The sequence below is a fragment of the Homo sapiens genome, chromosome 1 (assembly GCF_000001405.40).
Source record: "Homo sapiens chromosome 1, GRCh38.p14 Primary Assembly".
NCBI lineage: Eukaryota > Metazoa > Chordata > Mammalia > Primates > Hominidae > Homo > Homo sapiens.
Genome location: NC_000001.11, coordinates 201,749,689 through 201,777,638, shown reverse-complemented (window position 1 = coordinate 201,777,638; position 27,950 = coordinate 201,749,689). Strand labels below are relative to the sequence as shown.

At 41.0% G+C, this 27,950-nt stretch overlaps 1 protein-coding gene and 2 long non-coding RNA genes across 11 annotated transcripts in view, besides 1 other annotated feature; 2 read left to right on the top strand and 1 right to left on the bottom strand.

The window, feature by feature from the left end:
• NAV1 (neuron navigator 1) overlaps positions 1 to 27,950 on the bottom strand; it is a 287,843-nt gene that overhangs the window by 49,331 nt on the left and 210,562 nt on the right. The window lies entirely within an intron of this gene.
• The window catches only part of IPO9-AS1 (IPO9 antisense RNA 1), a 141,304-nt gene that overhangs the window by 51,921 nt on the left and 61,433 nt on the right, over positions 1 to 27,950 (top strand). The window lies entirely within an intron of this gene.
• Positions 97 to 27,950, top strand: part of LOC124904483 (uncharacterized) — a 55,488-nt gene continuing 27,634 nt past the window's right edge. Inside the window, exon 1 of the long non-coding RNA XR_007066790.1 lies at positions 97 to 27,863. This is a non-coding gene — a long non-coding RNA (uncharacterized LOC124904483). The remainder of the gene's footprint in view (positions 27,864 to 27,950) is intronic.
• Positions 25,115 to 25,614: an enhancer, noted in NCBI's record as "H3K4me1 hESC enhancer chr1:201721153-201721652 (GRCh37/hg19 assembly coordinates)". NCBI's record gives its function as "activates a minimal SCP1, AML or CMV promoter by ChIP-STARR-seq in naive H9 embryonic stem cells {active_cell/tissue: H9 hESC(naive)}" and the evidence as "EXISTENCE:reporter gene assay evidence [ECO:0000049][PMID:30033119]".

Sequence of the window (27,950 nt, the reverse complement as noted above, 5' to 3'; positions counted from 1 at the left end):
ACAAAAACCCACTATTACATTTGAATGGCTTGAAAAAAAAATAAAAGTTAAAGAGTGACAGAGCAAGACCTTTTGTTAAAAAAAAAAAAGGCTGGGTGCAAAACTCCTCCTTGAAGCCAGGTGTTCAAGACCAGCCTGGGCAACAAAGCAAGACCTCTGTCACTACAAACAAAACAAAAGAAATAGTACATGCTCTAATAAGGATCCAGATATTATATAAAGGAAAAAGGAAAAGTGCTCCTTTTTTGCCCTCCCATTTTTACTTCTAAGGTAACTATTATTAACAGTTTTCTGTGCATCCTTCAAAAATATCCCTATGCATATATCTTCTAGCTGTTTGCTCTCTGGATCTGCTGAATAGTTGACATTATGCGACCACACTTCATTATCCTGGCGATTCTCTATACCTGACTTAAACTGGAATCTCAGTCTTCCTCTTTGTTGTTTTACTCCTTGTTTCAGTGAAGTACCTCTTCCAGTAGGTTTCTGAAAAGGGGTGCTTTGGAAGTAAACTTCGTAAGACCTTACATGTCATAAAATGTCTTTATTCCATCTTTACATGTGAGATTTTGGGTAGCCACAGAATTCTAAGCTGAAAATATCTTCTTTCAGAATCTAAAGGCATTGTTCTATGTCTGTTTCTATTGTTGCCCTTCTGATTCTTTGTCCTTGTATGTGACCTGTTTTTTTTTGTCTCCCCTCTGGAACTTTTAGCATCTTCTTGTGCACTGAAACATCGCTAATGATGTGCCTTGGTGTGGGAGTTATTTTTTATCCATCGTATTGGGTACTTTACCGGATGCTTTGAATCTACACACTCATTACCTTCAGTTTTGAGAAATTTTATCAAAAATTTTTTGATGATTTTCTCTTCATTTTTCAGTTCTCTCTTCTAGAGTATTTGTAATTCAGTTAACAGATTTTTTGGCTGATTTTCTACATTTCTCTCTTATTTTCTAGTACCTTTAAAAAAAAACAACTCTTTTTTTTTTTTTTTTGAGATGGAGTCTTGCTCTGTCACCCAGGCTAGAGTGCAGTGGTGCAATCTGGGCTCACTGCAACCTCCGTCCCCTGGGTTCAAGCGATTCTCCTGCCTCAACCTCCTGAGTAGCTGAGACTACAGGCGCGTGCTGCCATGCCTGGCTAATTTTTTGTATATTTAGTAGAGATGGGGTTTCACCGTGTTAGCCAGAATGGTCTCGATCTCTTGACCTCGTCATCTGCCTGCCTAAGCCTCCCAAAGTGCTGGGATTATAGGCGTGAACCACCATGCCCGAACTTTTTTTTTTTTTTTTTTTTTTTTGTAGAGTCAGGGTCTCCTTATGTTGCCCAGGCTGGTCTCAAGTGATCCTCCCACCTGGGGCTCCCAAAGTGCTGGGATTACTGGCTTGAGCCAGCCTGGCTGCTAAACTCTACTTTTTGAGCAATGGCCTCAATTTTATCTTCCATCCTTTCTATTAAGTTTTTCATTTCTTCTATCACACATACATATATAGGTACACACACATATAAATATATAGACATACATATATATACACATAAATGTATGTATGGGTATTGTATATATGTATATGTATATTTTAGAGACGGGATCTTGTATTCTTACCCAGGCTAGAGTGTGGTGATGCACCATAGTTCACTGCAGCCTCAAACTCCTGGGCTCAAGTGATCTTTCTGCTTCAGTTTCCCGAGTAGCTGGGATTATAGGCGTGTGCTACCATGCCCAGCTAACTTTAAAATTTTTGTAGAGCCAGGGTCTCACTATGTTGTTCAGGCTGGTCTCAAACTCCTGGCTTCAAGCAATCTTCCCTCCTCAGCCTCCCAAAGTGCTGGGATTACAGTTGCGAGCCACTGCGCCCAGGCTTCTACCATATTTTAAATTTCCAAGGCTTCTTTAAAAAATTTTAAACAGCATACTGTTCTTTCTTTCAAGGATACAATCTCTTTTTCAACTCTCGGAGACATTCATTCACTCATTCATTTGGAGGGGCAGGTTTCCAATGTCCTTGCATAGTTTCTGGTTCCAAGTTGCTTTGTTCTGTTTGTACTGGCGGGACTTCGTGTTATAGACCTTCTGAGATGTGTGATGAAGCTTGGCTGTTTGCTTATATGGAAGACTGGGACACTCATTATAAGTTATTGAGAACCTTTGTGCACATGCAGTAGGACTTGTCAACTATGGCTTCAGTATAGGGAGATGAGATTGGACTGATTCATTTAAGTTTTTTCTCATGGGTTGGTCAGATTTCCTAGAGGTGAGTCTTCCAAACTCCAGCCTGCAGCATGTAAGACCAGCATTCTACGAGCTGAGTTAGAGAAGAGCCTGGAGCTTTCAACATTCAATATGCAAAGTTTTATTTATTCCCCTCTCCCTTGTTTTAGTTTAAAATCTATGCCCTCACTTGTGTCAGGAGTCCACCAGTCCAGAGACTACCTGTTTTACTCTCTCCAGAAAATGTCTCCAGTCTTCTGTTAATGGAGGGAAAGGGCTCCCCCTTTGGGAGCAGATGGAGGGGAATGGAGGGGAGAATCTGAGAGTCTAAGTGTTTTTTCTATAAATTTTCAACCAGTCCTCTTGTTTTTAGACTTACCTCTTCCCCTATTAAACCTACCTGATGCCACCAATTATGAAGCTTTTTGAGGATTCTGGGGTGCAAATTGAGTTGCTGCCCCACTTCCTCCACTGCTGGCTCAGGATTCGACTTTAAGTCTGATCCACCAGTTCATACTTGCCAGTCTGATTTCCAGCTTCCCATGATCTCATCACTATTATCTCTTTCTTCTCCTATTCTTTGTCTTTGTGGTTTTATGACTTATGAAAAGAAAAACGCTTTATTTTCATTTAACTTTTGTGGTAGTTGTGAAATATGTGAAATATATCCTAAGTGACTCTTTTGGATAAGATATCCTGATGGGTAGCCTTTGAGTAGAGAGAGGTGACGAGACATTAGCTTTGGAGTTCCAAAGTCAAATTACACAGAGGCAGAAGAAACCATCTAGATAATATTTTTTTTGAGATGGGGTCTTGCTATGTTGCCCGGGCTGGTCATGAACTCCTGGGTTCAAGTGATCCTCTTGCCTCAGCCTCCCAAAGAGCTGGAATTACAGGCATGAGCCATTGCACCTGGGCTAGATGATTTTTTTTGAAGACTCAAGAGCTGTGGGAGAAAAAAGGCTGGATGGACACTGTCCATCCTGAAACATATGACTGGTTGAGGTGTAAGAATAGAATGTCTTTAGAAGAGTTTGCAAATTTTACAGTTCATCAGTCAGAGTACTGCAAAGCAACTGCCTGGTCACTCAAGATAGCAGGGAGAAAGGAAGGCAGCTTAAATATGGCATCAAAAAGAATAAAGTAAAGAGGACAGGGCTCAGAGTTATGCAGGGCTACTGCATCTGTTGTTTGGCAGAAAGAATTTCTTTGCTCACTCTAAGCTGGATTTTGCTGTCTCCCTCCCATTTCTCTTTATATTTGTTTCTCACATAGATCTCAAGTACAGAAAAGAGAGCTGGGCAACAACAAGCTAGGCCTAAATTCACGAGGAGGTGAAAACAACAAAGAATGCAGAGACCTCAATAACCCTGTATAATCTAATCTACAAATCCAAACAACCACCAACAGGCTACTGATGTACGACAGAAATGGTGTCAAAAGTTTTTATTTGGGGCGAGTTCTTATAAGAACAATGGCACTTTGTCATTTTCATCTACCCCCAGAACAGAGAGGAAATGAGTCTGAATGAGCATATGAGAGATTGAGTCAGATATAACAGGACAATGAAGATGAAGAACCTTGTCAACGGATATTTCAAGGGAGCTATAACAGATTATAGAGGTAAATTAAAGAACTTTCTCCATGGGATACTTATTTTCCCACTTACTATTCTCCTCATATCATCTAGTCTACCCTCCAAAATTTACACGTCTCATTCCCTATTTCCACTAAAAAGCATCACCTTTTCCCCTCATTGCTCTATCAAAAACTTAGGTATGTCTTCAACTCCTTTTTCCTCCCCCTCCTCATCAAGACTGTAACACATCATTGATTGTATTACCACTTTCCTTTCAAATCTGTCTCTTCCTTTAACTTTCCCCTGCCTTTGCTCTGGTTCAGAGCCTAATGTCCTCTCACTTGAGCCACTGTGAAAGACTTCTTATCAGTTCTACTCCTCCCTCCCTCTAACATGCACTGAATATAATCAGAAGCCTAATCACCCAAAAGTGTGGCACTTAGCAAAACCTTCATTAGCTCTCTGTTACTGACATGATAAAATAAAAATTCTGCAGCCTGGCTGGGCATGATGGTTTACACCAGTAATCGTAGCACTTTGGGAGGCTGAGGAGGGAGGATTGCTTAAGGCCAGGAGTTTGAGACCAGCCTGGGCAACATAGTGAGACCCTGTCTCTGTGTATTTTTTAAAAAACATTCTACAGCCCATTTATCAAGATTATTCATGAGCCATCATTAATGTAGTATAGTGATTAAGAGCACAGATGTTGGAGCCAGACTACCTGAGTTTAATCCCTATAAACTCTGCCTAGGGTTAAATTCAACTTCAATTGAGCAAACAGTCATCAAGCTCCTAGTATTTTTTTTTTTTTTTTTGAGATGGAATCTTGCTCTGTCGCCCAGGCTGGAGTACAGTGGCATGATCTCGGCTCACTGCAAGCTCCGCCTCCCAGGTTCATGCCATTCTCCTGCCTCAGCCTCCCAAGTAGCTAGGACTACAAGCACCCGCCACCACGCCCGGCCAATTTTTTGTATTTTTAGTAGAGACGGGGTTTCACCGTGTTAGCCAGGATGGTCTCGATCTCCTGACCTCGTGATCCACCCGCCTTGGCCTCCCAAAGTGCTGGGATTATAGGCATGAGCCACTGTGCCCGGCCCAAGCTCCTAGTATTTATAATGCATGGTATCAGTTGCTATGGGCATTCAAAATAAGTGGCTATCCAGAATGAGCGTATAACCCAAGGATGGAGAAAGGTGTATAAATGAAATAAATCCATGACAGAGGTATAGACAACATACATAAAGCAATACAGAGGAAGGAATGATTTCATCTCCAATAAAATCCAGAAATATGACTTTACCATGTTACAATACTGATAAACATAATGCTTTATCCACTTTTCTCCACTCCCATCCCACTCCTACTTCCTATGTTCCCCAGGATTCCTATTAGGTGACCAGCTGTCTTGCCTAATTTCCTTTTAGAAATACAGACCTGCATGAGGAGCCGGTCCTCACACCACTATGCAGTGATCTGTGTGCTGCTGAAGTCTCTGGAGTCCTGGCATTATCCCAGGGATCTGACATCAGTGGACATAAGCCCTATCTGTTCATATTTCACATAGGCATTTTCCATTTCCAGATCAAATGCCAAGTCTTCCATGAGGCTTTCCATGATCCTCCTTGCCAGAAAAATCCCATTCTCTTTTATGTTTCTACAGACATATCTATACTTCTGTTAGAGTGGTCTGCCTTGAAATAGTTATGTCCACACATCTTTTCACTAGACTATATTTCCCTGAAGGTTAGGATTAAATCTTATGCTTCTTCGTACCCCTCATACAATATCTTGTATACAGTGGGCACTCACTCATTGCTTATATGAAAACAAGAATGCATAACTTCAGGAAAAAGGTTAAGATTTTGGAGCTGCTATTTATATATTCTCCAAGAATAACTAGTAATTTGTTTATAAATGTAATCCTTGCTTTGGGGTTGGGGGAATTTATTAACATTCTCTTTTTAGAACTTTCAGTACTCTGCTGAAATTCCCTATCTATACAAAAATGTAATTCACCTTTTCTACTGGATCCTTAAACATATTTATAAAAAGGATTTTACAATCCTTGTCTGTTAGTTTCAACATATGGCTCATCTGTGGATCTGCTTCTATTGACTATTTTTTCCCTCAGTCTTATTTTTTCTGCTTCTTCCTGAGTCTTGTAACTTTTTATTTTATGCCAGATGTTGTGTGTAAAAGTGTGGCAATAGGTATATCCAGAAAAGGACATGTCCCTTCCGCTGTTAGGCTGCTAGGATTGAGAGCTGAGTCAGTCTAGCCTGTCATAGAGCCAGGTTTGGGCTCTGTTATAGGTCAGTTCACCAGTTTTTTTTTTTTTTTTTTTTTTCTAGACGAAGTCTTGCTCTTGTTCCCCAGGCTGGAGTGCAATGGTGTGGTCTCGGCTCACTGCAACCTCCGCCTCCCGGGTTCAAGCAATTCTCCTGCCTCAGCTAGGATTACAGGTGCCTGCCACCATGCCCGGCCAATTTTTGTATTTTAAGTAGAGATGGAGTTTCGCCATGTTGGCCAGGCTGGTCTTGAACTCCTGACCTCAGGTGACCTGCCTGCTTCAGCCTCCCAAATCACCAGATGTTTTTTTTTTTTTTTTTGAGACGGAGTCTCGCTCTGTCGCCCAGGCTGGAGTGCAGTGGCGGGATCTCGGCTCACTGCAAGCTCTGCCTCCCGGGTCACCAGATGTTTTGAGGGCAGGATCAGGACTGTCCTTTCAGTAGCACTTAAGATCTGATCATAGTGAGTCCCCAGAGATCTCTCTATGCCATCCAGCCCAGCTGCCAGCTTTGGGCTGCTGTGGAGTTCTCTGCACTCTTGGTGAGCCACTTCTGTGCATTCAATGAAGGATTTTTGTGCTTTGGAGGGGGTCTTTCTCTACCCTCCTGCCCTGTTCTCAGGTTCCACTGTACTGTACTGTACTGCTGCTGTATAATCAGTGAAGGTCCTGTGTACATTGGGTGGGGGCAGGGATCTTTCTCAGATTTCTGTCCTGCCCTTAGCCATCAGCTTGCTGCCACTGTGTACTCAGTGAAGCCCTCATGAGAACGATTTAGGGGTAGGTGGGTACTTATTTGCTCTATAATTAGGGCTCCTTATGGCCAGCCTACATGTGGCCTTCAAAAGTTTGTAGGAAATTCAGCTATTTTCTCCTTATCCTCATCTATGGTGGGTTTGCTCCTCTTAGCCATACCCTAGGAGGAAAACAGCCATGTATTCCATCTCTCCTAGGAATGGCTCTTCTCTTTCTGGAATTTAGTTCAATTAGAGTACTTTGCATCCTTAGATATCTGTATTTTTAAAAAGTTATGTTTGTTGCTTATCCAGCTTAGCCTTGTTGTTAAGATGAGAGTGATAGTGTAGGACACTATACGATTCCCTTCAATAAATTAGCCCCTTGAGTGCTCTTAGAATAAATAAAGCCCTTCATCTAGGGCTGCTAAGAATGGCAACTGATTCCTCCTCTTGTTTTCTTGCCCACTTCCTAGCACTGATACCATAGTCTAAGGAACACTCTGATGCATCCATCTCCTCTGTAGGATGAAAAGAGGGACTGTGGAGAGGCCAGCTCAACTGAACACTGCTCTGTTTGTGTCTGTGCAGACACGTGGCAATGCATGGGGCAGGAAACACTCCTCCCCTCTGGGAAAAGCACCAACACTAACGTAGTTCTTGGCTAGGATTGGCTACCCCTCCCAGACTTCTCTCACACCGTCTGCTCCCCACATTTTAGGCCCAGCTATTCCATGGAACTTGAATAGCCAAGGGAGCCTGCAGGCAGCCAGAGGGCCAAGGGTGTGGGCTAACTAACTGGAAGAGTGGACCAGCTTGTGACTACATAGGAAAAAATCCTTATTGCTTCTGTAGCACAGCATGGTTCTTAAAAGTCAGACTTGAACACTGAATCTGTTCTTCTGTCCAGAATATATATGCCTTGCGAATCAGTAACTATTTCTCTATTTACTACTTAATGCATAAGAGCTGTATACATGGAACTCTACTTTCTCTTCTGAGAGTGGAGAAATATCTGCGGTACAATAGGCTGGTTTTAACAGCTGAGAGTTTTCTTTTTTTTCTTTTTCTTCTCTTATAATTATTTTTACTTCCAGTAGAGTTTATGGAATTGGAAGCCTAGGGGATACCTAGGACTTCTTGCTTCCTCATATAGGAAAGAGAATAACTAACTTTATCATCTAAACTGGAAACAGGTTCCAAGACAGCAGGAAGCTATTTGGCCACAAAATGTACCCTACTTCATGGAAACAAATCCCCAAATCAATCATGAAAAAAAGCCAGACTCAGAGTTGGAGGGCTTTTCAGTCCCCATCACTATACCAACTAGGTATGCACTGTATTCTATCAAATATACAAACATCAAATGGGGCAGAGCGGTAAAAGAGCATCAATAATCACAACTCTTGATATTGTCTCACTTGCTAGAGTTGATGGATGGTGACCTAGGTTAGGCAGTGAAATAGACAACAGTGACAAAGTGTGAATTTGACCCAGGGACTGAGAGTAATCTGAAAACCAAGATAAGTAGGAGGCTAGCAAATGTGATGAGCCCAGTTCTAGGTTTGCCAAGGGCTAGAATGTCTATGGATCAAAATAAAAAGAACATTTTTCATAGTGCAAGTGTTTTAGATAAGGCTGTCATTAGATGGTTCTGCAGCCAGCGATATCTCATGACATTTGCCCCTGATACTCAAATTATTCTTGATAATTTTAAGGAGACAGGGCAAAGAGCACATAAAGCTGGAAGTGGAATCAGTCCAAGTTAGAATTAAATACATACAGACTCAAAACTAATCTGTCCTCTTGAAGAGGCTAACCTTATTGGCTAGAAATGGACTGAGCTGATCTCAAAGAATACACTACTATAGACCAGAATGCATTCCTAATATTTGCTCTAGTCTTGAAATTTTCCATAGCTTTCTTGGAACTACACCAGATTAAAGCTAAGATATAGCTTTCCTTGCTTGCTACTTTAAGAATACTCTTGCTATCTATGATAAAATGTATTATGTTAAACCACGTGAAATTGCCAATCTTATAGGTAAAAAATTGGTCAAACCTGGGCACTTTCATATGATTCAACATCAAATATATTTATTTTTGTGTTTGGTCTACACTTTAGCACTTGTTTGCTACAAAACTGTGGTTGTGGATTCTAAACTCTTTTTTTTTTTTTTTTTTTAATTGAGACAAGATCTCACCTTGTCACCCAGGCTGGAGTACAGTGGTGTGATCTCAGCTTACTGCAGCCTTGACCTCCTGGGTTGAAGTGATCCTCCTGCTTCAGCTCCCCAAGTAGCTGGGACTACATGTGCGCACCACTGCGCCTGGCTAATTTTTTAATTTTTTGTAGACACAGGGTTTCACCATGTTGCCCAGGCTGGTTCCAAACTACTGAGCTCAAGCGATCTGCCTGCCTTGGACTCCCAAAATGCTAGGATTACAGGCATGAGCCACCATGCCTGTACTTACTCTTTTTTTTTTTTTTTTCTCTGAGACGGAGTTTCACTCTTGTTGCCCAGGCTGCAGTGCAATGGCGCAATCTTGGCTCACCACAACCTCTGCCTCCCAGGTTCAAGTGATTCTCCTGCCTCAGCCTCCCAAGTAGCTGGGATTACAGGCATGTAATTACCACCACACCTGACTAATTTTTGTATTTTTAGTAGAGATGGGGTTTCACCATGTTGTCCAGGCTGGTCTCGAACTCCTGACCTCAGGTGATCCGCCTCCCTCAGCCTCCCAAAGTGTTAGGATTACAGGCATAAGCCACCATGCCCAGCTGACTTAAACTCTTAATAGGGAGAGACCAAGTTACAAAAATCCAAGTCAAATGAAAGAAATGACAACCTGTCCCAGTCTAAGACTAGTTTGGTACATCTGAACAAGGGAATATGTTTTGGACTTTCCTCAATCCAAAGTTCCAAAGATATCCCATTCTTCAATGGTCTTTTATGCTTTCTTCAGACCCATTCCTGGAGGTGAGCCACTCAGTTCATAATCCATACTTCCCCAAAGGTCACTCAGACAGTCATGGAGATGTGATCCCTAATGAGAAAATTAGCAAGTGATGTTCCATCTCTGGTCCCTGCAGCAAGTGGACTCCTTTGTTAAGACGTTGGTGACCTACACCTGTGTTAATATGGTAGCCACTAGCCATATGTAGCTAATGAGTACTCGAAATGTGGCTAGTCCCAATTGAGATGTGGAGTAAGCTTTCAAAGACTTAGTAGAAAAGGAAAATATATCTTAATTATCTTGATAATTTCTATATTAATTACATATTAAAATAATATTTTAAATACATTGGGTTAAATAAGACATATTACAATTAATTTTACCTGTTTTACTTTTTATTTTTATTTTTATTTTTTTTGAGGCGGAGTCTCGCCCTGTCACCCAGGCTGGAGTGCAATGGCGCAATCTCGGCTCACTGCAACCTCCACCTCCTGGGTTCAAACAATTCTCCTGCCTCAGCCTCCCAAGTAGCTGGGATTACAGGTGCCCACCACCATGCCCAGCTAATTTTTGGATTTTTAGTAGAGACAGGGTTTCACCACATTGGCCAGGCTGGTCTCAAACTCCTGACCTTGTGATCTGCTCATTCAGCCTCCCAAAGTGCTGGGATTACAGGCGTGAGCCACCATGCCTGGCCTTTGTTTCACTTTTTTAAATGTTTCTACTATAACATTTAAAAATACATATGTGGGCCAGGCGCGGTGGCTCACACCTGTAATCCCAGCACTTTGGGAGGGCGAGGCAGGTGGATCACAAGGTCAGGAGATGAGACCATCCTGGCCAACATCGTGAAACCCTGTCTCTACTAAAAATACAAAAATTAGCTGGGTGTGGTGGTGCGTGCCTGTAATCCCAGCTACTCGGGAGGCTGAGGCAGGAGAATTGCTTGAACCAGGAGACGGAGGTTGCAGTGAGCTGAGATCGCGCCACTGCACTGCAGCCTGGCGACATAGCAAGACTCCATCTCAAACACAAAAAACCAAAAAAACAAAAAAAGTATGTGGCTTGCATTAGATTTCTGTTGGAAAGCGCTGTCCTAAACAGGAAACTTTTGGTCAATGAAATGTCCGCTTTAAAGAGCTGGAGTTCTTTAGCTGCTACAGTAGTTACATTTGGTCCATGACCTGAGAAAGCTACGGTTTGCAGTTAAACTTCAGCTGATCCCTTTGATGGCAACAAATGTGGTAACATTTTTAGGTGCAAACATTGAAATTATGAGCCATAGTCCTCGGAGACCATTCAAGAGGTTAAAGAGGATAAGTGATTTTTAAAAAAAAGATAATAGAAGAGTCAGAGTGAAATTGGGCAGTTTTGTGATGCTCAGTTTTGAAAATGAATCAAGACCATCTAGAGAAACCAACATTCTGTTCAAGTACTGCCAAAGTTCTTAAAGTCAGTAACCTCTCCTACTCCTCATCCCCATGTGGCCCTAGAGAACTCCAAGAGCGAGGGGGAGTACAGTGTCTGCTTCATTACATGTCTGTGGTTTGGCAGAGATCACAGCAAACTAGCTTGACCTGGCCAACAAAGCCAGGCAATGGGAGGAAAGGATGAATCGCAGAGTGAGAGATTTAGAGGAAGAGAGGGTGGGGCAGAGAAGAAGCCAATGTAAATTTTTTTGAGTTAAGGCTTTGCCAAGTCTTAATCAAGGGTAAAAATCACCAAGAAGAAAGGACTTTAAAGAACAAGGTAATCAGAGTCTTATATGAAATTGGAGGATATGTGCAATCAGGAAAATTTATTTGGCCCCTTGATATATTGGCAGTAAGCTCTTACAATTCCAGTCCTATAAGAAAACAAATGGTTTCAATAACTTTTAAAAGACATTTCCTAAACTCTAGTTTCAATCACAGAACTATCTGATTAATTTGTTCAATTCTCAAATGCTGAAGCTAATTTAATGAATGGACCATAGCTAGGGAAGCCCAAATTCAGATTTAAATCCTACAGACTGGTTACATGGCGTTATTAAAAAATCAGAAAAAATAGTCATCACAATTTTGGAGGCTACCATTTTAGAGTATCTGTTGCAACACCTAGGTAATGAATTCTTACTCAAACCCAACTGGGAAGATTATGAAGATTACTACCACGAATTTTGTAAATATTTCCTGGGCCGGGTGTGGTGGCTTATGCCTGTAATCCTAGCACTTTGGGAGGCTAAAGTGGGCGGATCGCCTGAGCTTAGGAGTTCAAGACCACCCTGGGCAACATGGTGAAACCCCGTCTCTACTAAAATACAAAAAATTAGCTAGGTGTGGTGGCACGCGCCTGTCGTCCCAGCTACTCAGGAGGCTGAGGCACAAGAATTGCTTGAGATTGGGAGGCAGAGGTTGCAGTAAGCTGAGATGGCACCACTACATTCCAGCCTGGGTGAAAGAGCAAGAGTCTGTCTCAAAAAAAAGAAAAAAAAAAAAAAAAAAAAAAGAATATTTCCTGAAGATCAAACCCATCCAAGAAAATTATACTCCAATGCTCTACTGTACCTTGATCATTCTGTTCGATGCTGAAATAATAGATTTCCACCATTGCCTTTTTCTTTTAAGTCACTCAGTTATAGTGACTGACAGAGTTCTGTATGGCACTTAGAAAGGAGTTAAAGCAAATAAACACAGGGACATGGCACCTCCAAGAATATAAAAGGCCACCCTAATGTGCCCATAGAGAAAGGACTTCTGTTATTTCTGATGATTCTTAATATAATGGAAAAGTGTGAAAACTTGTCTGCTTGGTTCTAAATCTAGTTCACCTCAAGGCTTCCTTGCTGAAGTTCTAGCCACCTTCAGCATACCCACTTTAGCTCACTCTCCTTTCTGATAAAGGTTCAAGTGTTTTTAATGGTGGCAATAGGGCCATAGGTCCAGACCTAGGCAGAACCCCACTCAGTCAGAATAAAGCCATGCATTTCTGTGCTTGTTCTTCACAGACGCCATCTTGCCAGTGGCAAAAGAAAAGTAACTGGTCTGGAGAACCGAATGCCCTTGCAGTTATACATAAAATTCTATGCATGTGCAATCTTCTGGTATCTGATCATACTTTCAGATTCTCAAATGTGTCTATGACTCAGAAAATTTTCTTTAAATTATCATCTTGCCTCCTAACACCCTGCTTTAGGCATTGCTTTCTTGATTCTGGCATTGAATTTTTGCCCTAAGGTTAAGAGAGTTTCTTAAATTTAGACCATTGTTATGGAATAAATTATGTTCCCCCCAAGTGTATGTGTTACAGCTGTAACTCCCAGTGACTGTATTTGGAGATGGGGCGTTCAGGGAGGTAATTAAGATTAAATGATCTTATAAGAGTGGAGCTCTCATCTGATAGGACTCGTGTCCTTATAAGAAAAAGGAGACACCAGAGAGCTCTCTTTCTGTGTGTGCACAGTTAAGGCCATGTGAGGACACAGTGAGAAGGTGGCTGTCTACAGCCAGGAAGAGAGGCCTCATCAGAAACCAACCCAGATGGCACCTTGATTTTGCACTGCTGGGCTTCGGAACTGTGAGAAAATAAACTTCTATTGTTTAAGCCACCTGCCCTGTGGTATTTTGTTATGTCAGCTTGAGCAGACTACCACAACCATTAAGTTACGAAAATAAGCTTATTTTATCTACATGTCAATATCCCCCATTGAACTACATTGGATATTGACCACCTCTATGATTCAGGCTAGTTTTCAATTCAGATTTACTGCCATCAGATTTTTTTAAATCATGATATCATAGGTTATTATAGGAAAATTAAATACCCGAATCCATCTGCTAGGCACAGTAGAAGCTATGGATTGAGAAAATCAAGGAGTCAGGCAAAGTGGAAGGAATTATCATTGCTGCTTGGACTTGGCAGCGAAATAATCCCGGAGAAATTCCATCTTTCTGTGATGAAATCAGGCTCTATATGTGCTCCTGTAATGACATGATACACAAGTATTCAGCCCTGCAAACAGCTTGGATAGCACTTTGTGGAACAAAATGGATGCAATTGGATTAGAGGTATCAATATATTTTATTGGGATCTTAATGTGGGAAAGGGTAATTGCAGGGTAGTAGAGGAGAGACAGAGAAGTGAGAATATAGAAGGAAAGACATGAGAGACTGTTTCCAAGCCGTCGGTTAAAGCTTTGCCATGTCAGCTGGCAGGGCCAGAGCAAGAAGAAAGAGCAGAAAGTTGAGCTGTTTAACGGGAGTCTCCTTAATTAGGACCAACTGTGGGTGAGGAATGCTGACTCGGCTGGCCACAATTTGTTTGAGTTTTCTCTAGTTTCAGAGATTTCCCTTTTTGTCTGCCCCAAGTCTTTCCCCTCCTGTACTTCTTTCACAGGAGTGGGAATGAAAAAACAAGGCACCTTCCTCTCTTTTTCAGATGTTTCCAAGTCAGGAAATTGAAATCCTTCAAAGAGTGAAAGATAACTGAGAATCTCAAGAAAAGCAAAAAATTCTCAGGGATACCATCAAATTCACCTTCAAAAGATAAAAGGCAGTCCTCTAGAGCAAGCTCTGGAGTACTGAGTATGTACTTCTATCTCTACTAGTCGCTATTACTACAGTTGAGTTAGTGTACTTGTCTTAGCCTCAATTTCCCCAAGTATAAACAGGTAATTGAACACCCACTAATCAAAATCTTTAGAAAGTTTGAACATCAAGGAAAATGATTTTGATTCTTAACTTGGTCAAGAAAACATCTTGAGGAAAACTAAAAAGTCACAAAATTAAGGTGTCAATTGATGTGAGTGACCTTATTTTGAGTTTCCATATTTTTATTGGAGAGGGCCTGAAGGAGGCTCTAAGAATAGTCAGTAGGATTCTGTTCAGAACCAACATTTTTTTTTTCTCTTTCTAAAACCCACATAGATGTCCCATTTTAAGGATTTTTGGAAAGGGATGAAAATGATATTTGATTTTAAATTTCATGAGATAATTCCTACTTCCTCACCACTGTCTCACCCATATTCTTCCTGCAGTGTTTCCTTAGGAGTCCACTGCACAATTCCAAAATCCCTAGCTAATTGAAAAGAAATGTAGAATAGTGTCTGCATTTCTGCACCTTCTCTAAACCAATAAGGAAGTAAGAGATAATTGACAATACTCCGAAAAGTAGGAAAAGTTTGGCTTAAGGGTCCAGAGTAGGGGTTGGCCAGATAGTAAATATTTATGAGGCTTTGCAGGCCATAAAGTCTCTGTCACAACTACTCAATTCTGCCATTGTAGCACAAAAGCAGCCATAGATAGTATGTAAACAAATGAATCCGGCTATGTTCCAATAGAACTTTATTTATGTCCACTGAAATTTGAATTTCACATAATTTTCATGTGTCACAAAATATTGTTCTTCTTTTGTTCCTTCCAATCATTTAAAAATGTGAAATCCACTCTCAGCTTGCAGGCCATACAAAAACAGGCAGTGGACTGGATTTGGCCAAGCAGGCCAAAGGTCACCAGCCCTGGGGCTAGACCAAAAAAAGAACCCCTAAAAATGAAAAGAAATAACAATTCCGTAACTGACAAGTCCTGGGCAAAAAAGCAACTCTGGGCTAAGAATGACCTCTTGGATTTCCACTTTTATTACTTCTGATCTAACCTGCTCAATTTTCAAGTCAAAACAAGATTTTTCTACTACTGATTCAGTTTTTTGGGTTTTTTGTTTGTTTGTTTTCTTTGAGACAGGGTCTCACTCTGTCACCTAACTGGAATGCAGTGGTGCAAACACAGCTCATTGCAGCCTCAAGCTCCAGAGCTCAAGGGATCCTCGCACCTCAGCTTCCTGAGTAGGTGGGACTACATGCGGGTGCCACCATGCCCAGATAATTTTTTTTTTTTAATTTTTTTGTAGAGACAAGTTCTCACTATGTCGCCTAGGCTGGTCTTGAACTCCTGTCCTCAAGTTATCCTCCCGCCTTGGCTTACCAAAGTGCTAGGATTACAGGCATGAATCACTGAGCATGGCCTCTGATTTAGTTTTGACTCAGAAAAAAAGGAAGAGGTTGGAAAAGAATAGAGAAGAAAAAGAAAAAAAGAAGCATTCGTACTGCTTGTACGTCATTGCCAATCCTCCATTCTGGAAGTAGGCGATGCCTTAAAGTGGGATGGAATGACTTATGTAGGGTTGACAGAAGCAAAAACCATTTTTGGTCAGAAGCACAAATTCTTCTACACAGGTTGGAAGAAGTGATATAGAACGTATATGGCCTGTATATGTTCCTGATGCATAAAGCAACAAATAAAAGTCTACTTTATTAAACGAAGACGTTGCCATTCATCTTCAGATCTCAGATCACCCTGTGAGCGCAAAGTGAGTACTGAAAGAGGAAAAAGGGATAGGAATCAGGCCCCAAATTCATACTACTAGGCTGAGAAATCTGTGCAACTCTGAGCAGTTTCTGGCAGCTCTAAAAGACCCAGGCCAGACTGCTGGTGTGAAACGCTGATCTGGCTATAAACACCTCCAGCCACTGAGCTACTCTCTCTTCGCGGAATGAAGCTTCCCACCACAAACCAAATGAATTGCCAGGCGTTCCCTCTGAACACATTATTCCCCGCTTTTTGACTTCTTTGTATCATATTCAGTTTTCTCACTCCAGAATCCCTGGCCTTCCATTATCACCTTCTTTTTTTCTTTATTAAATAAGAAGTCCACTTTCCAACGTCTTCTTTAGTGTTTCTACAAAAGCTGAGGAGGTCATCTTTTTTCTGTTCACGGTCTCCTTATTCAGTCAACAAAATCTTTAAATCCTGAGTCAAGATAGAGGGCAAAAGCAAGCTTTTCTGCTGTAACTACCCTAATGCTGTCCACATTCAATCTACTAAAAACAAACAAAAGGGAACATCAGAAAGGAAAGCTGCCAGCAAAACAGAAACAAACACAAATTCCAAATATTAAAACCTAAAGAGAAGAATATTGGATGCTAATTCCTCAAGTCTGTCTGCTTGCACACTACTATACTGAACTACATGGTACCATGTTAGTTAGAGAGAAGTGCCTCTCTAGGTCCAGAGGCTTGAGCATGTGGGAGGATCTATTCAGGATACGGGCAAGTTATGTGACACAATGACCCTTTGTAATGCACATAAAGAGACTCCCATCCAAATCCACAGATTCACCATAACACTCTGTTATTGAAGTATTTGTTGCAAGTTAAGCTACTTGATTTATTTTCCTTTTCAAAAATAATACTGAGAAACCAACTCACCACAGAATGCAAACATTTCTCTCAGGAATTCACACCCTATTGAGGTCCCCAGGGAGAAAGTCAGTGAACAACTCTGGATGAAGAATGTTACTCTAATACAAATCTAAGCAGGGTCACCACACAAAAAGAACTCTTGTCCCTACACTAAATGCAGAGGAAAAGAAATACTTCAGGCTGGTTATGGAGAGTCATCAATAAGGTAAAAGATGAGGCTGTTTTCCAGGTTATATAAACTTTTAAAACATAATATTCTTTTTTAAAAAAGTTTAATCTATTTATTTATTTTGAGAACGGGTTATGAGACTGGTTAATTTTTGTATTTTTGGTAGAGACGGGGTTTCACCGTGTTGCCAAGGCTAGTCTCGAACCCCTTGGCCTTAAGCGATCCACCCGCCTGGGCCTCCCAAAGTGCTGGGATTACAGGCGTGAACCACCATGCCCAGCCACCAGGTTATATAAACTTTTGATATAGCTTCAGCAATCCCTAGTAGGATTATTTTGAAGTTTTGATCTCAGTGGCTTGGCTAGATTTCCTAATTCCAGTAACTTTTGTAACTCTTTTTGATGCCCCATCCTCGTTTAAGTTCAAAACTAAAAATAGCAATGATATAGGTGGAAGCAGCCACAGGGGCAGGAGTACCAGATGATAAGTTTTCTCTTTTTACTTGTCCACAAAGAACAATAACCTCAGGACTTGAAGGAGCTTCAATGTATTGCAAGGGAAACCTACCAATTTGTTACTGGGGGAGTTTATTCAATCCCTCAACTAGCACCCTGATATCATTATTTCAAAAGAAGTGGTCACGAGAAGGTAGGAGAATTTAAGGACACACTTCATTACTGAACAGTTTTTAATCTGTGTGAATTCAACTGTCAAGATTTCCATTGTAGCAAAGCAATCCATGTAGAAGTCTGAGACTGCTCTGTGGAAAGATGCTGTTCACTTAATCATCAGGCAGGCTGGGATCCAACTCAACATTAGCTATTACTTATACCCATCCAGTCAAGCATAACCAGCATAACCTCTGCATTGCTGGACAAGCATGCAGCAGTGTCCTGCATGAAATCAAAGGAAAATCTGCAGTTTTACTGAAAAGATTCATGGCTCTCTGGAAAACCACCTTAAATAATTTAGGAACCTGAGAAGGCAACCAAACGATATTAATGAACACTCACGACCTCTGCATCATACTTTTCGACATTAGATATGCTGAAGCCTGGGTGATGGCCCTCCTTCAGTCTGTGAAGTTGATGCAATATCTAGCTCACTTGTTTGCTTGTTATCTGCCTCTAAGCTTGCATCAAACCAAAGCAGTTTCTCCACTTCTTCACTAACTAATGCACTGTGGAAACCCAGTGTTTCTTAAATACTTGCTATTAAAAGGCATCTTTAATGTGCTGCCTTTTATAATGACACAAAAGGGCATGCATTTTACATTATACTTCTAGTGGAGCTGCCAGATGTAGGCTAATCAATGCAAATAATCTAATCTTTTTTTGGGAGGGGGGAACATCACTAGATATTGTTATTACAACAATAGTTACCATATGTTCAGCACCTAAATATGTATGCCAAGCACTTTGCTGGGCACTTAACATACATGTATAACCTCATTTAAAGCTTCATATTAATTCCAAGTTAGATATGGCTTCCATTTTACTTACAACAAGAACTGAAACTTAAAACAGATAAAGTTACATGCCCAAGGGCCCACAGCTAGTAAGAAGAAAACAAAGCCATTGTAATATCAAGATCTGTCTGACTCTAAAGACTGTTTTTAACCACTACATATACTACAAATACTTCCATTACGAGAGAGATAAATGAAGTTAGGGGTGGTCACAGAATAGCAAAACTAAATTAGGCATTTACTCAGATCACTTGGGGACCATATGGGATTACTTCTGCAGTGCATTATTTGGCAGCTTTCCAAACGGTGTTCCACTGGAGGGTGAAGATCACTTATGCATCTCTAGGGACTCTTTGCACAAAAAGGTAGTCTCCAGGTCAAATTTAATTTGTGTCTGCTCCGTCACTTCTACCTTGCGCCTCAGTAGTTTCTGACATTTGGGATTTAGAATTGTGAAAAAGAAATGAGGTTAGTTCCTAGACCTCAAAAAGCCTGCAAACCAAAACACAATTTGCTTGAAAGAGTGACATGCTCCAAGTATCTGAAGGGCTTTAGCAAAAAGAATAATGTAGGATAGGCTATGTAGCTTGACAGAAAGCTTACATATTTGCTCAGGTTGGTTCCTACAGTTTCCAAAGGCAAATCAGTGTACTTCCTTAAATATGATCACCACCAAATAAAATGTCAACATCATATGCCTGCAGTAGAATGGGAAGAAAAGAAATCGATGTCAGGGTGTCAGCTGAAGAGCAGCTACTGATAATTTAACTGACTTCACATGTGGTGGGACAGGCACTCTTTTTGGACTGCCCATTCTAGCATCTTTCCTCTTTAGGAAAACTTATCAAGGACCCTATCTGGCCCCAAAGACCTTACTTTGTAAAGGAAGTCTATGCAACTCGTGGGCAAGAATCCAAAACATCAATCCCTCATGGTGAGGACAAGAAAAAAAATGCCGGATGAGTCCCCACAAGTGGGGCCACCATACTGAGACATATGGATGGGGGCAGGAGGCCCTGTGGCTCTTGGGGGCGTTGGATGGGCCAAGAGGGGTCCTATGCGTGGGTGCAGCCAACAGCTTTCCACAACCACCTGGGAACCAGCTGCATCATCCTCATGATGTCTCATTCCACCGCAACTAGGCTGGCCAGGTAGCAACAGTGATGCTTTTGCTTTGGACAGCCCTGTCTTTCTTTTCAGACTTGGGTTAGTCTTCCGAGTCAAAGACGTCAGTGCTCTGATGCCCCACAGCTTAGGCTTTGGGGTCAACCCTCTTGTGCCTCGCTGGATGAAAATGAACTCAGAATAGTTTCCCAGGTTAATGGCAGATGCCCCTGGTCAGCTGATTTGGGGGAATGTCATTTGATGACAGCACTGGAGATGTAGAGTATGGTATGAACTATAATAGTGTGCAATCTATATCAAGACAGAATATCAAATATAGAAACTGAAAGAAGGCAGAATGCAGCAGCTCATGCCTGTAATTCCAGCAAAAGCAGAAGAATCGCTCGAGGCCAGGAGTTCAAGACCAGCCTTAGTGAGACCTCATCGCTACTAAAAAATTAGCCGGGCGTGGTGGCAAGCACCTATAGTCCCAGCTGTTCAGGAAGTGAGAAAGGAAGACAGCTTGAGCCCAGAAGTTAAGAGGTCACAGTGAGCTATGATTTATGGATTGTGCCACTGCACTCCACTCTAACCTGGGCAACAGAGCAAGACAGTCGAAAGAAAAAAGAAAAAGAAAAAAGAAAGAAACTGAAAGAAGCCTCTAAAAACTTCTTGCCTTCAGAGATCTTGAGGAGAGACTGCTTTTTCAGATGTTCAATGGCATGTACCACATGAAAGTCAAGCTGCAGAGTTAATGGGGATTGTTGAACAGAGAGTTAATGGGGATTGCTTCTTTGTCTGAACATTATGACACTGTGGGATGGCTAGAACCATAAGTGCCGCATAGGTCCGTATAACAGTAGGGCTCTTGTGGACAGCCTACTTTAACATACTCCTATGCCAGACCTGCCACTATTATTGTGACCACAGAAGGAAACTTTTGGGGCTAAGAGTGAATCATTTTCTGATCAATCACAAAGAAAGCCAAAGTAGTGGGGAGAAAGACAGAGAAAGAAAGAAAGAAAGAAAGAAAGAAAGAAAGAAAGAAAGAAAGAAAGAAAGAAAGAAAGAAAGAAAGAAAGAAGGAAAGAAAGAAAGAGAATTGCTCATTAGTTCTTTGCCCTTTTCCAGACACCTGGAGAAGGAACTATAAAAAATGTGGGATGTGCTGGAGAAGAAAACCTATTGGTCTGGAGAAGGAATTTTTCTTCAGGGTGAAAATGCAGAGAATTTCTACATATTGAGTCACATGAAGGCAAAATATTGACTAAAAAGCTAGGCAGCAAGGAAGTAGGGATTTTAAGGCATTATGAAGGAGACTGCAGAGTCTTCCCTACTTGGCAACAACCCAGGACACCATCAGTCTATTTGGCCAGAGAGACCAAATGTTTAGTTATAAAATGTAGAGGGCCCTGAGACACTTCTTGTGCCTTGTGTTGATATTTTGTAGGGAGACATAAAACAATATGAAGAGTTGGTAAAATGGTTTTGCTCCAGAATTAGCAAGGAAGTATGAAGCATTCAGGGAACTAAGCTTTTTAAATGTCTGAAAATATGATTATAGCGCTACAGACTACAGAAAATCTAGAAAAACACATGAGAACTGAAGATTTAAATATTTTTATATAGGCTCTGCATTATGCCCATATTTGTTTATTTTTTTCCCCAATTTTCAGTCTGTTACTTGGAACACTGCTCCTTAGTAGTAATTAAACTGTTAAGTGGCAACTTTTTCATGCTGGATCTATTCTGCCCACCCTACACCACTTTTTTTTTTTTTTTTTTTTTGAGACAGAGTTTCACTCAGTCACCAGGCTGGAGTGCAATGGCGCAACCTCAGCTCACTGCAACCTCTGACTCCCTGGTTCAAGCAATTCTCCTGCCTCAGCCTCCTGAGTAGCTGGGATTACAGGCATGCACCACCACGCCCAGCTAATTTTTTTGTATTTTTAGTAGAGATGGGGTTTCACCATGTTGGCCAGGATGGTCTCGATCTCCTGACCTTGGGATCCACCCACCTTAGCCTCCCAAAGTGCTGGGATTACAGGTGTGAGCCACCGTGCCCAGCCCACAACTTTTTTTAAAGCTGTGTTTCTTCTAGGAGCCTCTTCTCCACGCCAGGCATAAGGAGGAGGTTTATTTTAATGACTTTCACCTTCCAGGTCTTTCCAGACATAAAGCAACTAATGTGTAAGTGCATTAATTGCCAAATCTCACAAACCACACTACTATGATTCTTGTCTTGCAGCCTCTAACTAAAATTGAACTAAGAATGCAAGTTTTCCTAGCCTATATCTGGTCATGGAAACCAGTTTAGTTCCTATCCTGCAGCAATGTTGATAGCCAATCATTACTGCCCTTTCAAATAACAATAAAAACTAAGTTAAGCTAAAATAAGTATATCTTCTTCCTCTTCCTCCTCTTTCTCTTCTTCCTCCTCCTCCTCCTCTTCTTCTCTTTCTTCTTTTTTTTGAGACAAGAGTCTCACTCTGTTGCCCAGGCTGAAGTGCAGTGGTGTAATCATGGCTCACTGCAGCCTTGACCTCCTCTTGCCTCAGGCAAGTAACTGGGACCACAGGCCTGTGCCACCATGCCTGGCTAATTTTTAAATTTTTTGTAGAGGGGGGGCCTCAATTTGTTGCCCAGGCAGGGGAAATAAGATAATATCTTAAGTTTTTAAATGTTTTTATGCAAAATATTTAATTGTTATTTTAGAGATAAGAGAGTATTTGTTGATTCTTTCTAGTGTTGCTGAAAAATGTTGAAATGTGTACAAAATGTCAACTGGGGCATATTTAAGGCAAGGTATTAAGTAACATGTTGTCTTTACTCTGAATTCTTATTACTGATGTCTAAAGGCACTAATTTCTCTAAAGTTGTATCTCAAATTATCTAAAGTCATTCCTCTGTTCCTGACTGGCATTTTTAAACATTATACCTGATATGACATATTCTTTAACATTGTAGCATAATTCCATTGTTTGAGACAAATTATGTAAATTTATTGCTAATTTATTGGGAGGGTCCATTGTACATATTGAATGAAACGCATTATTTCCCTATTTTTAAAAACTGGTTTAGTTAATATAACAGGACAAAATAAAATCAAATCCTGTGGTACAAATAACATAAAATAAAAAATTTTCTAGCATAGATCATAGGATTAAAAAGGTAAAAGCAGATAGAGCAGGAGATAGTTATGTCTAGTTTGATCCTGCTGCCTCATCACTCATGAGCCACATGGAGAGAACTTTTCGCCTGCATTTGTAGGCTACCAGCTGTCTCTCCTTTCAACTACTACACTCATCGCCTCTCCACCTTACCTCACATTTACTCCCCCACTCATTGGAACTTGGCTTTCATTTCCACTGCTTCACTGAAATCTCTTTGGCAAGGGTTACCAAAGATCTCTACATTGCTAATTCAACTAGGACTTTTTCATCCTTTCTGACTTCTGCGTTGCATTTAACACTGTCAGTCACTCCTTGAAATTCTTCCCTCTGTTAGCCTCGGTGACAGCATTCTCTTTCTGTTCCTGCTTATCCAGATTCCTTCTTCCTCCTCTGCCCACCTTTTACACTTTGGTCTTTCATTATATGTGGCTCTTGACTTACTGGTGTTCCTCTTCTACCTATTCCCTTGGGAGTCCTGTCCCATTGGCAAACATGATGGCAGAGTATCTTCCTGTATAGGGTATGAGAGGTTGGGTGGAAGGGTCTGGCACAGAGTAGATTCTCCATAAATACTTGTTGAATGAATCAAGGGGTTATATTAAAATATTTTCCCCGGAACAGAGGTGATTAGAGAATCTTAGGGTCTGTGGCAGGAAAGAAGGCAATATGGAAAAAAAACACTTGCTAAGTGCTTTCTTCAAAGCAACTTTATCCCATTGCAAGTTCCCAGATTCCAGCTTTCCTTCACTTTCCCCTTCTTTGGGTAGTCATCTGCCATCAGAATGACAATGTATCTACTTCTGGCAAAGAATTTTCTTGGGTTTCTGTAGTTGGGAAAGTCACATCAGGACTTTATTGGTCCCTTCTTTTGTGTAACAACAATAATCATATGCACATTTACCCACCAAACAGAAGCTAGCCCTTTATGTAACCCCCAGTGTGTTTCTGGAATGTGCTCCTATGTGGAGTTTGCCTAGCACAGCTTAAAAATTGCAAGAAGGATGCAGAATGTGCTGTGGAATTGTTTGTGTGTAAAATCGTTTGACCTCTCATGATGAGAGCTTCTTGAGAGCCTGAAGCCTTGTCATTTCTGTGGAAAACATTTATCCTAGCCAATGAAAACACACGGTGTTTGAGTTGAGCACTGTCATTCTGAAGGAGTCACTGGAGAAGCACTATTAAGGTAAAATATTACCCCCAATCCGTTTCTCTAATAAGGACATTTGAAAGATACACAATACATTCTTATACCAACTTTAACCACTCTTCAATCGCAGACAGTAGTCAAACATAAGGTCACCAAATTTTCCTATCATACAGTGGATAGCGGAATTTAATTAAATGGGGGCTTCTCTAGTTACCCAATTATGGGCTGAAATTTAATATAGCACAATTGCCTCTGCTTTTTACATTTATGAAATATGCAATGCAGTTCTTACAGGGGCTCATCAATCCTGTCTCCTAGGATAAACTGCAGTATGTATGCCACAGTGGCTCCAAAATAGACCATTTTAAAAGCATTTACGTGATAGTTTTTTCTCTGAAAAGCCACTTCTAAGATATGTGAATGCTCTTCCTTAGAGAAGTTTCCTTTGGGAAGCTTCCTTCCAAAGCTTTCTTTGCTTAGGGGGTGTGAGTTTCTAATTCCTTCTCGGATCCCAGACAGAGCTGAGATACTATACAAGGTAACCTTTAATTTGAGCCCCTCGTTCCCCCCAAAACTACCCCTACATTCTTTCCTAATGTGAAGATTTCCAATAACAGTGCAAAACTAGCAGTTAATAATAGGTCCCAACATGTAAATTACAGTGGTCACCAAAAATAAAGCTTCATGGGGGAAAAATTTGCAAGTTACCACTGTGAGGTAGATGCAGTAAAGAACAGTTTCCTCACACCATGGAAATCTGGATGTCTTTGCACAATTGGCAGACAAATATTCTGAACACAGTCCTTAGAAATGATTTTTTTCGTGTAAACCAAATTATGACTTTTCCCTACCTCGCCTCTCTGTCTCCTTCTCCTCAACAAACCTGACAATTAAACACCCAAAGCTTGTTCCTAAGCCTAAGTCTTTCTTTACATTTCTACAGAGCAATTAAAAAAAAAAAAAGGCAAAGCTGTAATCCGTTACCTTCTTAGCACTTTGTCTAAGGTGATGACTGGGACCATGTGTTATTTGTGAAGTTTTCTTTCTTGCCAAGCAGCCCATAAATGGGCTTGAGATCCTTAGAATAAGAGTGCTTGTTAAGGATTTCAAAAGAAGTGCTCCCAAGAAGCCCTCTTAATTCATACATTCTGAATAGCTTCCTCCCCCACTAAGATTCTCTACTCTTTTTATTAATACAACCAAGGAACACTGGGCAGGTTTGTCCAAAGAAATCCATTTAGAAATTCCATGGAATAGAAAGTGCACTTGTCTCTTTAATTCGGGTCTTAAGGAAGGTTGAGTTGTCACCCTCACCATGGGGGGGATCAGTGATCCGGCCTTGGAGGGCTTTGTAATTTTTATAGACCTCTTGCCTTCATCTTTATTTCAGAATTAACCGCCTTCTTATCTTAAGTCATTTAGTTCATGGACTGCTTACTCTTGGTGAAATATCTTTGTTGAGGGCTCTGAAGGTTTTCACTTCAGAGAACAGGACAGCTGAATACCACATTGTGCATGGAGGTCAAAGGTCAGCACTGGAGAGAAAACCCAGCTAATGCATTGTGAAAGACCTTCGTTTTTATGGGTGAGTTTTCCATGCATGTGAAAGTAAGCACATCTCTCACCTATTACAAAGCTTTGAACAAAAAAAGAACGAAAAGAAAAAGGAATCTTAATTCTTAAACAATAACTGGATGAAGTAAAGATCTTATTCCAGAGAAACAAACCATACACAGGTGTTCAGGCAAGGTAAAAAGCCACTCACGACATGCCCCAGGCATGACATCCTGCCCACTTACAGATGAAGAATGAATGGAGGAAAGAATAACAGGGAACTGAAAGGATTTAAACTTCTCAAACCTTAACCTGTAAATGCCAGCTTTACCAAACATTTTTGAAAGGCAGATGTTCTACTCAGTTTTTACAGAATCAGGTATTGAAGTATCTATAGTGCTTTGCAAATATTAATACCTGACAATTTTCATAACCGGTTATTGCTTTCAACACCCCATGAGATTGGATTGCCATATTTCTGTAGCAAATCCTTACTGATGCACTTTCCATTCAGACAAAATTCCATTCTCTCTAAACTGTCTCATACCCATTATGTGCCTCTCAACTGCCAGTGAACTTCATTCTTCTTCAAAGGGGGGAAACTAAGGCTGGAAGATTTGCCCTCAGCCGTGGAACAAATCAGTGACAAAGTCAGCATTAGATTTTTAGGTGCTTTATCTCTTCAGTGCTAAAAATGTGCTCCAACCTGGGCTGGATATCAAACATATACTTAGCAGGACATCAATCCTTTTCCTGGCTTCTCTGACATGTTCTTTTACACATGCTTTCGTCAAGATGCCTCTTGCCACATCACCTCCTCCAGGTTGAGAGGCAGAACAGTTTTTGTTATCTAAAGATACATATCTTAGAGAAAAATAACAATTTTGAGAACACAGGAAATGACTGGCTAGGAAATTACTTTTGGTATTAACATGCTTTTCTTGGGCAACTATGAGTGAAATTCCTGTTCTGAGGCTTTATGATCAGTCTAGGACTTTTGGCATAATCCTTAAAGAAGTCAAGAGAAGGAAGACTGAAATTAAAAGAAGAGAAAGTTAATCAAAATCAAACTGGTTTTGTTTCTAGAGGAGATGCCTTCAGGCAATAGACAGAAATAAAAACATCCTGCTCTTTCTTCCATCCTGTTCTGATACAGGGTAGATCCAGACCACTTCTCAATTTAGAAAAGGGGTCCTCACAACTTCACCCCACCCTCCAGGCCTCCTCCGATCTCAGAAAGGCAGGCAGGCCAAAAATTCCTGCCTGCCTTTCTGAGATTGGGAGGTGACAGCCCCTCTGGGCATCAACCAAGTGGTAGGTGTGAGTAAATATAAATTTCATCAATTATTACTCCAAAGAGTTGAAAATGAGTAAATACAAGCTATGACTTGAGCACTAAAAATATGTCCTCTGTCTGACTTGGGGAGAGCTTATTTAGATCTCATATAGATTTGGAGAAAGAAAGACATGGAAAAGACCTAATCTGGTGGCTTGCAAGCCCTTTTTTAAGAAGAGCAATCGTTTTTACTAACATTTTAACCAGAAGTCCTCAATGTATGAAACAGGTAAACACAGGGCTGCTCTGTTTGAAAGGGAGGCAGAGTCACCAAGTCCACCTGCCCCTCTTCCTCCCCTCCCCACCCTGACTTGGTCAACTCTCATACCATGAACAGTTTACCTCAGTCATTTCTCCCCTATCACTGATGCACCAAGTCATCCACGCAAATGGGTGTTTTTCTGCTTTGGGAGACTTCCAGGGAAGGGTTTTTCATACCTTCCTTAGGCACTCATTACATGTAAAATCCTTGCAGCGGTAGGTCTTTGTTATAAAAAATTACACAGAAAGTTGCCAGTGAACCTCAGTGTCATTCAAAGTACTAGGACCAATAGAATTTTTCCTGATACACTTCTGCTTTTCCAACTTGAGTCTTCACACCCATACCTACAGTGCATTATCAAGTCTAATGTCAGTTTCTTTAAGGTGGAGCAAAATTTTAACAACATAAAGCAATCTGAAAGCAAAATCCTCTAGAGTTTTATAATCTCCTCTAACCTTTCAAGTCCTACATATAACTCAGCAACATGCCTTTTCTTTCTTTTCTTTTTTCTTTTCATTTTGGAGAGAGAATTGCTCTGTTGCTCAGCTGGAGTGCAGTGGCGTGAACATGGCTCAATGCAGCAGCCTCGACGTCCTAGGCTCAAGTGATCCTCCAACCTCAGCCTCCTGAGTAGCCAGGACCACAGGTATGTGTCACCATGCCTGGCTAATTTTGCTTTTTCTTTTCTGGAGAGACTGGGTCTTGCCATGTTGCCCAGGCTAGCAATTTCCCT